At 47.4% G+C, this 15,347-nt stretch overlaps 1 annotated feature.

Moving 5' to 3' along the window:
* Positions 14,440-14,609: an enhancer, noted in NCBI's record as "experimental_5416 CRE fragment used in MPRA reporter constructs". NCBI's record gives its function as "activates a minimal promoter by MPRAs in K562 erythroleukemia cells, with activity observed for the introgressed 1:22442983 variant allele {active_cell/tissue: K562}" and the evidence as "EXISTENCE:reporter gene assay evidence [ECO:0000049][PMID:34662402]".

A 15,347-nucleotide genomic window follows, 5' to 3' on the forward strand; every position in this document is an offset into this window, starting at 1 on the left:
TTCTCCTGCCTCAGCTTCCTGAGTAGCTGGGATTACAGGCATGTGCCACCACGCCCAGCTCATTTTTTGGTATTTTTAGTAGAGACGGGGTTTCTCCATGTTGGTCAGGCTGGTCTCGAACTCCCAACCTCAGGTGATCCTCCCGCCTCGACCTCTCAAAGTGCTGGGATTACAGGCGTGAGCCACTGGGCCTGGCCAAATACGGCTTCTTAACAGCGGCAGACAGGATATTTTCCTACCTTATGGATCACTTCCTTTTGGGAATACTAGTAGGATCCAAGCATAAATATAATTCAGTGGTGAAACTAGATCCCTTTACACAGACTTATCTGTTTCCCTTCTTGTAAGTATCCTGGCATTCTTCATTACAATTTATATAAAATAGCATATTTCCTGTTGTTCATGTTTCAGGAATCATTCTAGTGCCAGTTCTATGTAGAACTTTTTGATTTTAAAGAGAAAAACTGTATTAAATAGTAGGAAAAGCACATATATTTTGGAGTAGAAGGCCCTAACTTTGAATCTGGCTCTGTTAATGACTAGCTGTGTTTGGGCAAACTGCTTTAGTTTTTGAGTCTTGATTTACACATCTGTAAAATCGAGCCAATTCTGCAGAGTTGTCATTAGGATTTAGGGATAAGGTACTCTCCTCCAATAAGCACTCGGACAAGAGGATAGACAAAGCTTTGTCTGATAGGGAATTCTCATAGAAGAACAGCCAATTTTATAATGGTAGTGGGTACAAAATGGTAATTTGTCACTGTGATTTACTTTTGTTTAGGCATTTATTCATTTCAGGAATGCTTATCTATATCTTGTCTGTTTTGTAGGAGCCAGTATAGAGTAGTATTAAAAACATAGACTCTAGAGCCAGACTGCCTGGTTTTGAATCTTGGGTTCACTGTTTACTGGCTGTGTGATCTTGGGCAAGATATTTAACTTGGATGTTTTTCTTTTGAGGATAGTAACAATATCACCTCACGGGGTTTCATGAGGATTAGACAAGTTCATGTGCGTAAAGTGCTTACAACAGTGTTTGGTTATTATTGTTAGCTGTTGTATGATTATCTTGAGGGAAGCTTGCTGCTTAGAGATCTTGAGACTTACAGAGCTAGCCCGAATGGCAAATATGTTTGAATTAAGCATTTCCTGTAGACTGTGTTTAATAGTTCAGATGGGTAGGAATGCAGTTCAAAAAACCTGTCAAGCAATCCCAGTAGTATTTTCTGATGAACCCTCAAGTCCTTCTGGATAAGACCCCAGCTAGTGCTGAAATGTGGTGAGGCCTGTGTTTCCTCCCTGAAAATAATGACCAAGATTTTACATTTGCACAGTGTGTCACGTTCTTTCAGTTTATTCCCACAGTCTGTGAGGTGGATAGGCCAAGGGTGATAATTCATTACATTTTAAAATAAGGGTATGGTCTCTGGGAAGGAAAACAATTTGCTTAGAGTTGTACAGCTGTTTGGTGACTACACTTCAGGCCTCTGTTTTTAGGCCAGTGTTCTTTTATGCCAGCCTGGTCCTGCTCTCTTCTGATAGAGGTTCTAAGGAATTGTTACCTTGTAGTAACCAGTGATCTATGGATCATGACTGTGGGGTTGAGAGTCGTAACCAGTGCCTTTTTAGCTCATAGAACTCTTGGAGGAGCTAATGGTACTTCCCCGTGGGGCCAGTGGTGGGTCTGATGCACCTCTGGGAATAATAGTAATAATAAAAGGAAGAAACAAAGTGTGATTTGCCCGATTGAGGGTGACTAGGAGTGACTTTGGGAACACATCTAATTGTTTGTCAGTAGATTATTTTGCCACATTCAGTCACTGCCTACAGTGATTTACAGCCATTATTTCTTAACATGCTGCATTTTTCTTTGGTATGCCTTAGTGGTATACCTGGTATAGATCTGAAGGTACTGTATAGTTAGTTTGCCTACATAACACTAACAATGCAGTTCATTCCTTTGTTCATAAATTCATTTATTTAACAAACGTCTGCTTAGTACCTGTATTCGTCTGTTCTCAATGCTGCTGATAAAGACATACCCAAGACTGGGTAATTTATAAAGGAAAAGAGGTTTAATTGACTCACAGTTCAGCATGGCTGGGGAGGCCTCAGGAAACTTACAGTCATGGTGGAAGGGGAAGCAAACACGTCCTTCACATGGCGGCAGGAGAGAATTGCAGAGCAAAGTGGTGGGGGGTAGGGGGAAGCCCCTTATAAAACCATCAGATCTTGTGAGAACTCATTATCACGAGAACAGCATGGAGGTAACCGCCCTCATGATTCAGTTACTTCCCTCCAAGTCCCTCCCATGACATGTGGGGACATGGGGATTATGGGAACTATAATTCAAGATGAGATTTGGGTGGGGACACAGCCAAACCATATCAGTACCTCTCATGATGCAGTAGGATGACCAAGACAAAATTCTTAAACTGGCGGGACTTACATTCTAGTAGGGGGAGGCAGACATGATTAAAATGTGTATGTCAGAGATGGTGTTAAGTGCTGTAGAGAGAAAGTACGGGACTCCACAGTCCCATCAGGTCTGATTACTTACACTTCTCGGATTTAAAAAAGGAGATCCTTGAAAGTCTTAAAAGGCTATAAGGAAGAAAAACTGCTTCTCAAAATCTAGGTTTTGTATATATCGTAGAACTGTAAGTATTTTAAAGAGCTAGAAGATTCAGATTATGTTTATTTCCTCTCTGATTTTAATTGCTTTGAGGATATTATAGTCTTACTTGGTTCAAGTTAGTTGAACTTGGTTCAGGCCAAGTTATCAGTAATGGGAATGATAATGATAGGTGAGTCTCTCTTTAAAAAGACAATGGGAAGGACTTTTAGAGGTTATTTAGACTAGCCCTCTCAATTTTGGCGGGGTGGGGTGAGTGTAACAGCTTTATTGAGATATAATTCCTGTACCATACAATTCACTTAAAGTGTACAAGTCAGTGGTTTTTAGTTTATTCACAAAATTGTGCAACTATCACCTGATAAATTTTAGAACTTTCTCTTTCCTTCAAAAACTCTTTTCTTCAAAAACACCCTTTAGCTGTCATACCCTGAAACTTTCTGCCCCATCTGCCCAGCCCTAAACAACCGCTGAACCACTTCCTGTCACTGTAGATTTGCCCATTGTGAATACTTCGTATAATTATAATATGTAGTCTTTTTTAACCAACTTGTTTCACTTAACGTGTTTTCAAGGTTCATCCGTATGGTAGCATGTGTCATTACTTCATTCCTTTTTATGGCTAAATAGTATTCCATTGTATGGAGATACCACATTTTGCTTATTCATTCCATCAAATGATGGACACGTGAGTTATTTCTACCTTTTGGTTACAATGAACATTGTGTACACATTTTTACATGATCTCTCAGTTTTCAAATGAAGTAAATGTAGTGGGGTGATTTGCCCAGTTCCCAGTGTGGTTCCAATGCATTGTGGGGCTCCGGAGGAGGCAGTGGTGCCACCTGCTTGACCAAGATCGTAGCTAGCTGTGAGGAGCTTGGAGCATGTAGGCATTTCTGGAAGAATTGAAATTATGTTTAGTTTCAGGGCCTTCTGTTCCTTCAGGAGGAGTGATACAATGGCATGAGGATGGACTTTGGTATCACATTTTCTACTGAGCCTCTGTAACCCTGGACAGGTGACTTCTATAAGCCTTGGTTTTCTCATTTGAAAAATGGAATTAATAATGTACCTTGCAGTGTTGTGAAGACTAGCAATAACATAGGTAAAGCACCCACCAGATCTAGCTGTGTAAGTGGTATCATCATTTAGGAAGTTACTGGAAGGACCAAGGAAAATGACGATGAGGTGGGCCTGTAATGATCCAGAGCAGCCACTAGATGGCAGAGAAATAGCAAGAAAAGACTGGCTGGTTGTGCACCTGGAACTTAGTAAGGTTTGTTAAGCTTCTTTCTAATTGTCCTTAAGAGGAGAGTACAGGCTCCCACATTGCTGGGAAAAGAGCCCACCGCCCACAGAATGTCATCACCCCATACCTGCAGCCTGTGCAGATATAGAAACACTACTGTGCGCCAAATTCGATAATCTTGCTTCTCATTTCTTAAAATAATTGCTGCCAATTCCCTAGACCCCAGTCTGCTTGACTGTCATGAAATTGCCTTTCAGTTAACCTTCAGCCAAGTATCAGTCTTCGTTCTCCTTGTCTGTTTTATTTATTTTTATTTTTTACTTAAATTGGGTCATGAGTCAAGCCTTGTAGATTCTGTTGTTGGGGAACTTGCAGACCAAGACATCCTCTGTTTTAGACAGATATATTCCATCCCTACAAGCAGAATTAAAGTTAGACTGTCAGGGAATAGTGAAATGTCTGTGTGTGGGATGATGCTTGGAGAAAATTGGTCGATTTCAGGGCTGTTTAGGTTGTTTGAAATAGGTACAAGCAGAGAACTTTTGAGGGCAGCCATTGGGACTGTTATACCAGATGACCTCCCCCTTCTTCCAGAGTTCTGAGTCTAGGTGCCCAGAATGGGTAAGTCAGTGGAAGGTTCACCTTTTCCCTGGGCCATTTAGGAGGACTTCCGGCTCTTGGTTTCTCTCAGCCCCCTTTTGCTGCCAGGGAGGGCAGTTGTGTTTCTAATTGAGTTGAGGCTGCCTGGTTTGTAGAGGCCAGTGAATTGAGGATAAAAAAAGCAGATGAGTTAGGGGCAAATTGGTAGGATCTTGGGGCTGGAAGTAGCCTTGAAAAAGATCACTTGGTTCAGCAATGAATGTCTGACTTAGGAAGACACTAAACCTCTAGTCCTGAGACCCTGCAGCTAAACTGAGAGGGTCTTGGGCAGGCCTGAAACTTAGACAGAAATATATGGCTGAGGTCGGTTCCTGGGCCTCAGCAGGTCTGGTTCTTGTTCATTGGGAACCAAATGGCTCTGGTCTCACACTGCCTGATTTTCTTAATGTCTCTGCTGTCTTAACTTGTGTTTGAGCCTCTCCTATCTAGCATGGTGTTGAGCACATAGTTCAGTTCTATGAACAGAAGGAAGGGAGAAGAGGAGTCAGGAATGCAAAAGAAGGCAACAGGGAAAAAGCTTGCATGGGTCGTAATACATTGTATTTATAAAGCTGCTGAGAAAATGCTTTCATGTTCATCTTCATAAAAGCCTGTGAGGCAAATAGAACAGGTGTTTATTTTACAAATGAGAAAACTGGCTTAGAGTTGAGCTTCTACAAGATTTTACAGATTGAACTGGAGTCTTTTGGTTCTGAATCCAGTGTTCCCGCTACTCAAACACCTTACTTTTGTGGGTGGTGCCTCTTCTCCCTTTTCTGTGGTTAGGAAAGCTAGAACTGGCCTTCTACTCATTCATAAAGTGGGTAAGAGTCATCCTTGGAGTATGTAGGGATTTCATCCTTAGCACCTCTCAGGTCCCTGTTTTCCTTCCATGAAGCCACGTACCGTTGAGACAGGCTGTTGCTCAGATTGAGGTAGAAGTGATTTACGGAAACTGGCCTGGCAGTGGCTGCTTTGGGTTCCAGATTAAGGAATCTGGGTTTTGCCTCCATCATACGAATTTTTCCCTTCATGTGTTAAAGGGAGTCCTCCTACCCTTTTTGGGGTTGAGAAACTAGAAGTTAAGGAAGAAGGAACTTTCTTTTTCTTTTTTTTTTTTTTTTTTGAGACGGAGTCTTGCACTGTCGCCTGGGCTGGAGTGCAGTGGCACGATCTCAGCTCACTGCAGCCTCTGCCTCCCGGGTTCACGCGATTCTCCTGCCTCAGCCTCCTGAGTAGCTGGGATTACAGGTGCATACCACCACATCCGGGTGATTTTTGTATTTTTAGTAGAGACGGGGTTTGACTATGTTGGCCAGACTGGTCTCGAACTCCTGACCTTGTGATCCGCCCACGTTGGCCTCCCAAAGTGCTGGGATTACAGGCGTGAGCCACCATGCCTGGCCAAGAAGGAGCATTTTTTTCAAAAGCAGTTTTCAGGTTACCAGAGAAGTTACAGGTTTTGGGATAAAACAAACCTAGGTTTCAAACCCCTTCGTGCCATCTAATAGCTGTGGCTTTGGACAAATCCATTAACCTCTAAGCTTTAGTTTCATTATCCCTAAAATTAAATCATTGCTATGTTGTAGGGTTGGTGAGAATTAGAGATGTGTGCATGAGATCAGCATGTAGTGAGTGTCTTTACGTTCTAGCTTTTCATGTCTCTACTGTGTGCTTCCAAGTTACCTTCTGCTTTGGGGTGCTGAGAGCAGGAATCCCGGCCGAGGCCTGGTTTTTGGGAAGTTCACCCCAGGGGCTATAGAATCTGGTGCATTTGTATTTTCCCAGGAGAAGGGGGAGGATGTCTTTAAACTTTTTGCTGGCTGCTGGGCCCTGGGACAAAGGGGAGACAAGCCCCAGGGCTGAGACAATCATGTCTTTATTATCTCAGATGTCTCAGGCCTGTCCCCCGCCTGGAGATATATGGCTGGGAAGGCTAACTCCATGGCCTCGGCGCGATTCCAGGTCCTAGGAATGTCTGGCTGTTTTATAGCAAACAGAATCACGCACAACAGCCCAGCATCCAGGCATCTCCACCCCAGCAAGCTCATTCTCCCCGCCAGCTTGTAAAACAGTGGGACCTACAGCAGTGTGACACAGGCCCCATGGCTCTTGGGGTCTCAACACCTTGGCATAGGGCAGCAGTCATGGGCAATGTTGAACCCATCTAAGGCTTTGGGCACAGGGCCAGCAGTGCAGGCCTGGCTGTATCCAGGGACCACCTTTCAGACCAGGCCCTGCCTGGCTCAGTTCTCACTTGCAAGCCATGGGCTGCCCTAATTCTAGCCTGTTTCTCTTCCTTTTGACCCGTTTGGGGAGCAGCTGCAGGGAACCACTGAGAAGGCTTGTTTACAGATGCACTTGGCACAGGATGGGGAGACCAGCAGCGATGAGTCCTGAGTTCCAACTTCCAGCTGCTCCCAGGTGCTGAGAAGCCTTCTACTTTGGGCCCCAAAAAAACAAGTCCACACTGTTGTCTTTGGCCGGGGCTTCAGGAACTTGGAGATGAGGAGACTAGAAGACAGTGGGTGAGATAGCTGTCCAGGCCGTCATCTATAACAAAGCCGTGTGGGCTGGCCCTCCAGGGAGGCCTTGCACAGGGACCATGGGTTGTGGACCCAGGCTGAGGCTCTTCTCTGGGGCCCTGAAAGGGGCACTAAGGGGCCTTGAAGTCCAGGGATAGTAATGGGTAGAGATAGTTTAATTGTTCCCTTGACTTCTTTATTCTGGAGAAGGAAGAGTCCAGAGTAACAGTCATAGACCTGTAGCATTTTGGAAAAGGGCTGGAGCCCACTCTTGTGTGGCCGTTCATCAGTGAGTCGGTCTATCTTGCACCTCTCTGATGGTCAGTAGATGGTTATGTTTTCTCCCCTAACATGGATGTCTCAGTTCATTTGATCTTCAGTGCATCCTTCCCACCCTCGATATGAAATAGAAGTTCCAGATCCCACCCAGAGAGTGCTCACAGTTTAGTGGGGGGGTATGCATGTGTAAGCAGTAGTATGTATGACACCATGTGGCTTGTACCTTGGGAAGCACAGGTCTGTCAAAGGAGCATCAGTCCCTTTTTTCTTTAAAGTGTGTCCTCTGCCCAACTGAAGTCTTGGGGAGCCTACTCTTAAACATCTACTGGCTCAGCATTCTCAGGATTGGAAGTGGGGGCAGGAACATTCTCTGATGTTAAAAGCCGTAATAGCTAATGACTGAGCCCTGGCTGTGTGACCAGCCATGTGCTAAGGGTTTTACATGCTGTATCTTCATGATAGCTCTGTGAGACGGCTACTCTTTTCATTCCCAGTTTATAACTGAGGAAACAAGTTAATGACTTGCCCAAGGTTCACAGCCAGTCCATGGTAGAGCTGGGGTTATTTGACTCCACAACTTAAAAAAAAATTATTTTTGAGAATGTTCTGAGCTGTTTTTTCTTGTAACTGAGATCCAGCTGGTGCTATTGGTGGGCTGTTGTGGCTAACTGCCTTACAGAAAATGTAAAAATGTCTAGAATAGAGTTGACATTAAGTCCCTTACATGTCAATAACTAAATTATTAGTTTACTTAAGCTGAAATTAGTCAACTGGCAGTTAAAAGAAAAGTGGTGTTCAGTATTTATTTCTATAGAAAAGTGGTAAGGTGTGGCTGGGCATGATGGCTAACACCTGTTAGGCCATCCTGGCAACATGGTGAAACACTGTCTCTACAGTAAAATTAAAAAAAAAAAATTATAAAGACAGATTCTCACTCTGTCACCCAGGCTGAAGTGTAGTGGTGCAATCATAGCTCACTGTAGCCTTGAACTTTTTTTTTTTTTTTTTTTGAGACGGAGTCTCGCCCTGTTGCCTAGGCTGGAGTGCATTGTTGTGGTCTCAGCTCACTGCAACCTCTGTTTCTCCAGTTCAAGCGATTCTCCTGCCTCAGCCTCCTGAGTAGCTGGGATTATAGGCCTGTGCCACCATGCCTGGCTAATTTTTTTGTATTTTTAGTAGAGACGGGGTTTCACCATGTTGGCCAGGTTGGTCTCAAACTCCAGAGCTCGTGATCCTCCTGCCTCGGCCTCCCAAAGTGCTGGGACTACAGGCATGAGCCACCGTGCCTTGAACTTGAACAAGCCAGCCAGCCTTGAACTTTTGACTCCAGAACTTGTACTACCAGCTCCCCTTGGGGGCAGTAATAGAATAGCTGGTAGACAAATGATGTGTAGAATTTGAAATGCTTATTTTATCAGATGAGAATAATAGAAAAAAAACAACAAAAAGGAAATGCTTATTTTAAAATCACTATTGTGTTGATTTGTTTTTAGTCACAAGATTTATTTTGAAATGACAGATTAGGCCGGGCGTGGTGGCTCACGCCTGTAGTCCCAGCACTTTGGGAGGCCGAGGTGGGCGGATCACAAAGTCAGGAGATCAAGACCATCCTGGCTAGCATGGTGAAACCCTGTCTCTACTAAAAACACACAAAAAAATTAGCCGGGTGTGGTGGCAGGTGCCTGTAGTCCCAGCTACTCGGGAGGCTGAGGCAGGAGAATGGCGTGAACCTGGGAGGCGGAGCTTGCAGTGAGCCGAGATCGGGCCACTGCACTCCAGCCTGGGTAACAGAGTGAGACTCCGTCTCAAAAAAAAAAAACAAAAAGAAATGACAGATTTAACAAGGCAGGGGTTTGTCTCTCAAAGGCAGGGGACATAGGTTAAAGGTTGAGAATCTCTTGCTTGCCAGCAAGTGGCTGCTTCACTGGGTGAGCTGTACAGAGCTGTGACCCTTGAGGGCACAGTGGAGGGGAGTAACCTGCCTTTCCCCTTGCCATACTGGGGGTCCCCCTATTAAACCGAAGCCTGCTGTGGTTGGAAATGGGTACCTGAGCAGCTTGGGGAGCAGGAATCACACCCATATTGAGTGTATCCTAGATTCTGAGATGAGAGGGTCAGGATGTGTAAAGTAAGCATCTGGCTGTGCTTACTTGCCCAGGTGGGAAGGGTGAGTGTGTGTGTCCCAGGTCAGAAGTGAAGGGAATGGGGGAGCAACTATTCATTGGATGCCGACCTGCATTATGGTTCAGTTCTCACAGGAGTCCTTTGAGATGGGACAGATGGGGAAGCTGTGCAACTTCAGCTCTCAGGCTTTTCCCACCACACTATTGCCTGTTGTTTTGGAGAGCAAGTCTCAAGTCCCCTCTCCTCACACCCTTCTGATTTGAGGGATTGAGCCGCTCCTCTCAGCCTCCCTCTTTCCCAGTTGAAGCTGTCTGAATTCATAGCAGCAGCCCTGGATCCTCTTGGTCACTTCTCTGGATCCACTCCAGCTCTATGATGAATCAGAGGGGCAGCAGCTCGCCCTGTCCTGGCTGCGATAACCATCAGCCATTCTTGAAGCTTCCCAGGTGGCTCTAGCTGCTGTCCAAGAAGGGGATGGGGGAGGAGGCCCAGGTTGCAGGAGGTGCTGGAAGGAAGGAGGAGGAGAGATGGGAGAAGAGAGATCCAGCAAGCAAATTCTAGTGTCACCTAAACCTGATGAGACCAGGAGCTTGGAATGCCATTCTCCACATGCCCAGTATATACTTCCCTCACTCTTAAGGAAAGAGCCAGTGTTCTGGCCAGTGACTACCGTCAGCATCCCTGATAGCCCTTCCCAGTCCATATAGCACTTCTCCATACAGTGTTTCACTTGGGCCTCCAGCAACCGTAATGGTGGAAGTGTGAGGTCAGGAAGCCTGTGTAGAGTGGAGGCTTTAGAATTAGAACTGGGTCCAGTCCTGGCCCTGCGGTATCTTCATCTCTACTTTACAGATGAGGTTGAGAGGTTTATGAACTTGCTTCAGATTCCTCAGGCTGCCAGCAATGAGGAATGAGACCCCAGGTCTTCTGATGCCTAGAAAGAGGCTTCATGAGGAAAGAAGGGAGAAGCAAGCATCTATAGAGCTCTGGTTAGGTGCTGGTTAAAGTCCTGCTTAGGAATCTGCTTGTTTCTGTGTACTTACGATCTGTTTGTTTTCTTTCAATTTCCTAGTAAAAGATGTTTTTGAAAAATACCTCCCTGTTTGGCTGAACTGAAGGGAAAAGGACTCGTCAACTCATCTATACCTTGGTTCAGGCGAGATGCTCTAGAGCCAGGTGTGGGAGCAGCCCAAAAGGGGTTTGGACTGGATTGTCAGCCCCTTCCTGCTGCAGGCAGGCACCTGACAGCCAATCTGACAGGCCTGGAGCTGGGCCTGAAGTTCTTCTGCCACGCCAGCCAGGGAAAGGGGTGGGGGGAGGGCTGCTGTTTCCAGCTATGGCTTTGTCAGCTCTAGCAATGTGACTCCAGGCTTCCTCATCCCCTGCCTTAAAGAGAAAACTGTAGAGCGATGTGTAATTCTCCAGCAGAGTGACAGAGTTCAGCTTAGCCCAGCCAGAGACAGATTTCATGCTCCTGTATGGGGAGGAGGGGTAGGCTCAAGGCTCTGAAGCCCTCTGGCCAGGAAGCACCAAGGGTAGGTCTACGCCAGTAGTGGAGTGAGGGAAGTGGAGGGTCTGTGGGACTGAGGAGGGGCTCTGATAACATATTCCATCCTGACCAGCAGGCTGAAGCCTTAGGTTCCGGCCTTGGGCAAGTCTCTTCCCTTCTGTAGGTCTCAGTCTCACCCGTAAAATAGCGATGAAGCCTACACCTGCCTCTTGGTTGGTTTATCTGACAGGAAATGTTTGTGTTCACTTGCTTGCCTATGAACGTGACATGGGATAATGCTAGTAAATGGTGCTTTAGTGCAGGCCTGACCCACGGTCAGTGAGTTGCTCAGTAAATGGTGTGGTGTTGAGTATTGATAATTAGTAGTGTCCTGCATCACTCTCTCAGGGAGGCCATGTCTGTTGCTTTCTCAAGTAGAAGCTTCAAGGAGGCAACTGTTCCTGATGTCGCTACAAAGTCCATTGTTGACCCTTATATCTGGCAGGAGGCCTGTGAGGACTTAAGAAAAAAAGGGAGTCCTTGGGTAGGTGAGGAACCAAATTGAGGATGGAGGCTTTGGCTCAAAAGGGGGATCAGAGCTGATGAAGGTGGAGTTGGTCTGGAATCAAGAAGGGGGGCTAGGCTGGGTGCGGTGGCTCACGCCTGTAATCCCAGCACTTTGGAAGGCTGAGGCGGGTGGATTACTTGAGGTCAGGAGTTCGAGACCGGCCTGACCAACATGGTGAAACCCTGTCTCTACTAAAATACAAAAATTAGCTGGGTGTGGTGGCAGGCGCCGGGAATCCCAGCCGCTTGGGAGGCTGAGGCAGGAGAATTGCCTGAACCCACGAGGCAGAGATTGCGGTGAGCCATTATTGTGCCACTGTACTCTAGCCTGGGTGACAGAGGGAGACTTTGCCTCAAAAATTAAAAGAAGCGGGGCTACATGAGAAGCGCCATGCCTGGGGTCTGGGTTCTCCCAGTGGCTGCCGAATTGAGCTAATTAAGCCCAGAGGAGCCACTGCCTGGTCCAGGACCAGTCTGACAAAACCTGTCCTGGGTCCTTTCCACTGGCTTTTGCACCATCTTTCACAGTGATCAGTTTCTGGGCCTCAGTTCCTTCTCCTGGGTCCCCCTTTCCCTTCTTTGTTTTGAGGGTTCTACCTTAGCCTTCCCAAGTCTTGGGGTGCTGGTGGGGCTAGAGACTGGCACTGCTCCAAGGTCATACACACAATCTGTTCTCTGGCTTGACTGAGCTCCTTGAGGGCAGGGGCCAGGTCTGAGTTGCCTCTGGCCTTTCCCTGTCCAGCATTGAGCCTGTAATCCTTGGGCCCTGACCAGAGGGCCCAGCCCTTGCTGGTCTCAGTTGTTGGACTGGCCAAGGTGGCACAAGCTTGCATGGGGCCTTCTTCCTCACAGGTGGCACGAGGAGGTGGGGTGTGTGCTGAATTGGAATACATGGCTCCTTGTGTCCAACTTCCTCTTCCCGACTGGCCCAAGGCTTGGGAACAGTGGCTGCCTTTTTGGGGCAGCCAGGGCACCTGGCCAGAGTGTGCTCTGTCGGGCACTGTCAGCTCTTCAGCAGGCCCCGGTCCTCCTCTTAACCTAGAGAAGGCCCTGGGTTATTGGTGTTGTTCTTGGCGGACCACCGAGCCCCTCAGCAAACAGGGAGGTGAGTGTGCACCCGGTCTAGGCCTGTTTGTGTTGGCCTCGCCAGGCGGGGGATTAGCTCAGCTGGGCTGCTAATTGCCTCCGAAGTGCCGGCCGGGATGCTGACAAGGGCTGGGCCTCCAGTCCCCTCCTCCCGCAGCAGGCACTGTGCCAGGCTTGGGGGCCTGGCCCAGAAGGGCCCCTTCTCTCCCCTGTCAGCGCCTGCTTGGCCTAGACCCTTGAGATGTGGGCAGGGGGTCACCAGGACTGGCGGCTCAGGAAGGAATCGGGGGAGATGCTTATGAAGTCATCGACTGGGCCAGGCCAGGCTGTGTTCCACACACCCCTCCCCCACATGCCTTAAGACCGCCTCTCCAGCTCCCCTTCTGAATCAGACACTTTCTCCTGAAGCTCAGCACTTTTTTCCTCTTACTAGGAAGCTGCTGGGCTCCTTTGCCCAGACACCCTCACCTCAGTCGCTGCTCTGAGCTCCCACAGCATCTTCTCTCTTCTTGTCTCTTTCTCCCTGTCTTCCTCATGTCTGTCCTCCCTCTCTGCCTTTTCGTCACTCTGTGTCTAGCCTTTCTTAGTCTCCCGCAGTTGTCTAGTTCCTAGACTTCCCTTCTGTCCTGTTTTCCTGTGTTCTCTGGCCTTTGCTTGGCCTTTACTGCTCCCCAGACTTCCCATGGACTGGTTGTTCTCAGGAAGAGGCTGAGAAGGAGGTCTACTTTGTCACTGCATTTTCACGGCTCTCCTAGAGAACTTCAGGCCCAAGCTCTGAGGGCAGCTACGAGGATAGAGCCTGGACACAGGCTCTCTGCAAGCGGACCCAGCCTGGGAGCCTGAAAGTCTTACTTCCGTCCCCACAGGCAGAGCGCTTGGGGCCCACTACACCTTTTCCTGCAGCTCTGGCACTCCTGTCTGCACTTCCGACTTGGCCCTGCTCTCTGGCCTTGCCCTGCTTTTCCCAGACATTGGGATCTCAATCAGCCCCTCCAGCTGGTGCCCAGGGACAGCTTTGCTATAACCTTGTTGGCTGCTGCCTGGGTCTCCTGGCCTCTGGGATTCTCTGCTCTCCTATTGGGGTTTTCTACTTTGGGTAAAGATCTGCCTGCTTCTGAGCTCTGGGTAGGGTCAAAGTCTTGCAGCACCTGCCTCAGCCCTCAACTTGTTCCATGTGAATTAGAGGGATTGAGCCACTCCTCGTTTCATCCCCCCTCCTGCTCTCTTCAACTTACAATGACCTCAACTGCCATGACCTTAACTGCCTCCTAGGTTCCTGAAAAGGGAATAGTAATATTTCCAGTGAGAGTTGTCTGGGAGGGTAGACACAAGGAGAAGAGGGAGAATTAGAGAAGATGCTGAGGGAGCTCAGGGCAGCAACTGAGGTGAGGGCATTTGGGCAAAGGAGCCAGCAGTTTTCTAGAAGAGTTGTTGAACTTTACCAATGTTCTCTTATTTAACACCCCCAATAAATAGATTCTATTATTATCTAGCCCCATTGAAGTATGTGTTTAAGGGGGTGGGACAGGCCCATTTTACAGATGAAGAAATGAGTCTGGGAGAGGACAATGAATTGTCCAAGGTTTTATCTAGTGAAGAAGTGGCAGTGCTGGGATCCAAACCAGGTCTATCTGATTTCAAAGCCTGGGACCTTTGCATAGTGCTAGAAAATGGTTCAGCATGGTCACCTTGACTTCTTGGTTTGGTTTTGTTTTGAGACAGGGTCTTGCCCTGTTGCCTAGGCTGGAGTGCAGTGATGCAGTCTCAGTTCACTGCAACTTCTGTCCCCAAGGCTCAAGTGATCCCCACTCCTCACCCTCCTGAGTAGCTGAAACTACAGGTGTGTGCCACTGTGCTAGGTTAATTTTTGAATTTTTTGTAGAGGTGGAGTTTCACTATGTTGCTAACCTTGACTTATTTGCTGCTCTGGTACCCTCTATCCCCTCTCCCTGCCTTTCTGAGGATGAGGTGTCCTTTTTTGTCCACCCATACTCTATACCGTGTCCGGGACCTCCCTTTGTCTATTATGCCCCTGCCCCCGATTCTTCACAAATTCATAAGCACCCCTGCTGTCCTGAAAGCACTTTTCTTTAGCCCTTTACCCTGCTAAGCCTTTGGAAAGCTGAGCACAGAGCAGCCTACCCACTCCCCGGCTGCTGTGAGTTTGCTGCAGCGGGGGTGGGGGATAGGCCATGGCCTACCTTGGTAAGAATAAGGACTTCACTTAGTTAGAATGGAGGTTCCTGAGAAGCCACCCTGGATCTCCCATCAGCAACGAGTTCCCTTGGCTGTGGCTTTAGACTTGAGTTACTTGAAGTTTTCCACCCAGACTCCTTATTCTAATTGGATTCTAATCCTGGAGTTTACCTGTGAGCCATAGTCCTTGGATTCCCATGTCTCAGGACAGAAACTAAGTCCTTTTCCCTCATCCCCTACCTCCCATGTCAGTACCCAGTTTACCAGGCCCTCTACTCAACCAGGCCCTCATCAATACTCTTGAAAGATCTGACTAGGCCAAGGTTTAAGTAGCTGGTCATGACCCAGTGAAATGCACACGAAGAAGCCTTTGTGTGTTAACAGTGAAGTTTCAGAAAGCATGCAGGTGGGTCCTTGTGGCCCTCAAACCACCTATTAAGAAGGCAAAGGGGCCCCTATATATAGAATTTGCTACTATTTGTCTGCTATTCCCATGACCTTCTCCAAGTCTCTTCTCCCTATTCTATAAAAAAAGTCACTGTCACAATTGCAAGA

Source organism: Homo sapiens, chromosome 1, assembly GCF_000001405.40.
Source record: "Homo sapiens chromosome 1, GRCh38.p14 Primary Assembly".
NCBI lineage: Eukaryota > Metazoa > Chordata > Mammalia > Primates > Hominidae > Homo > Homo sapiens.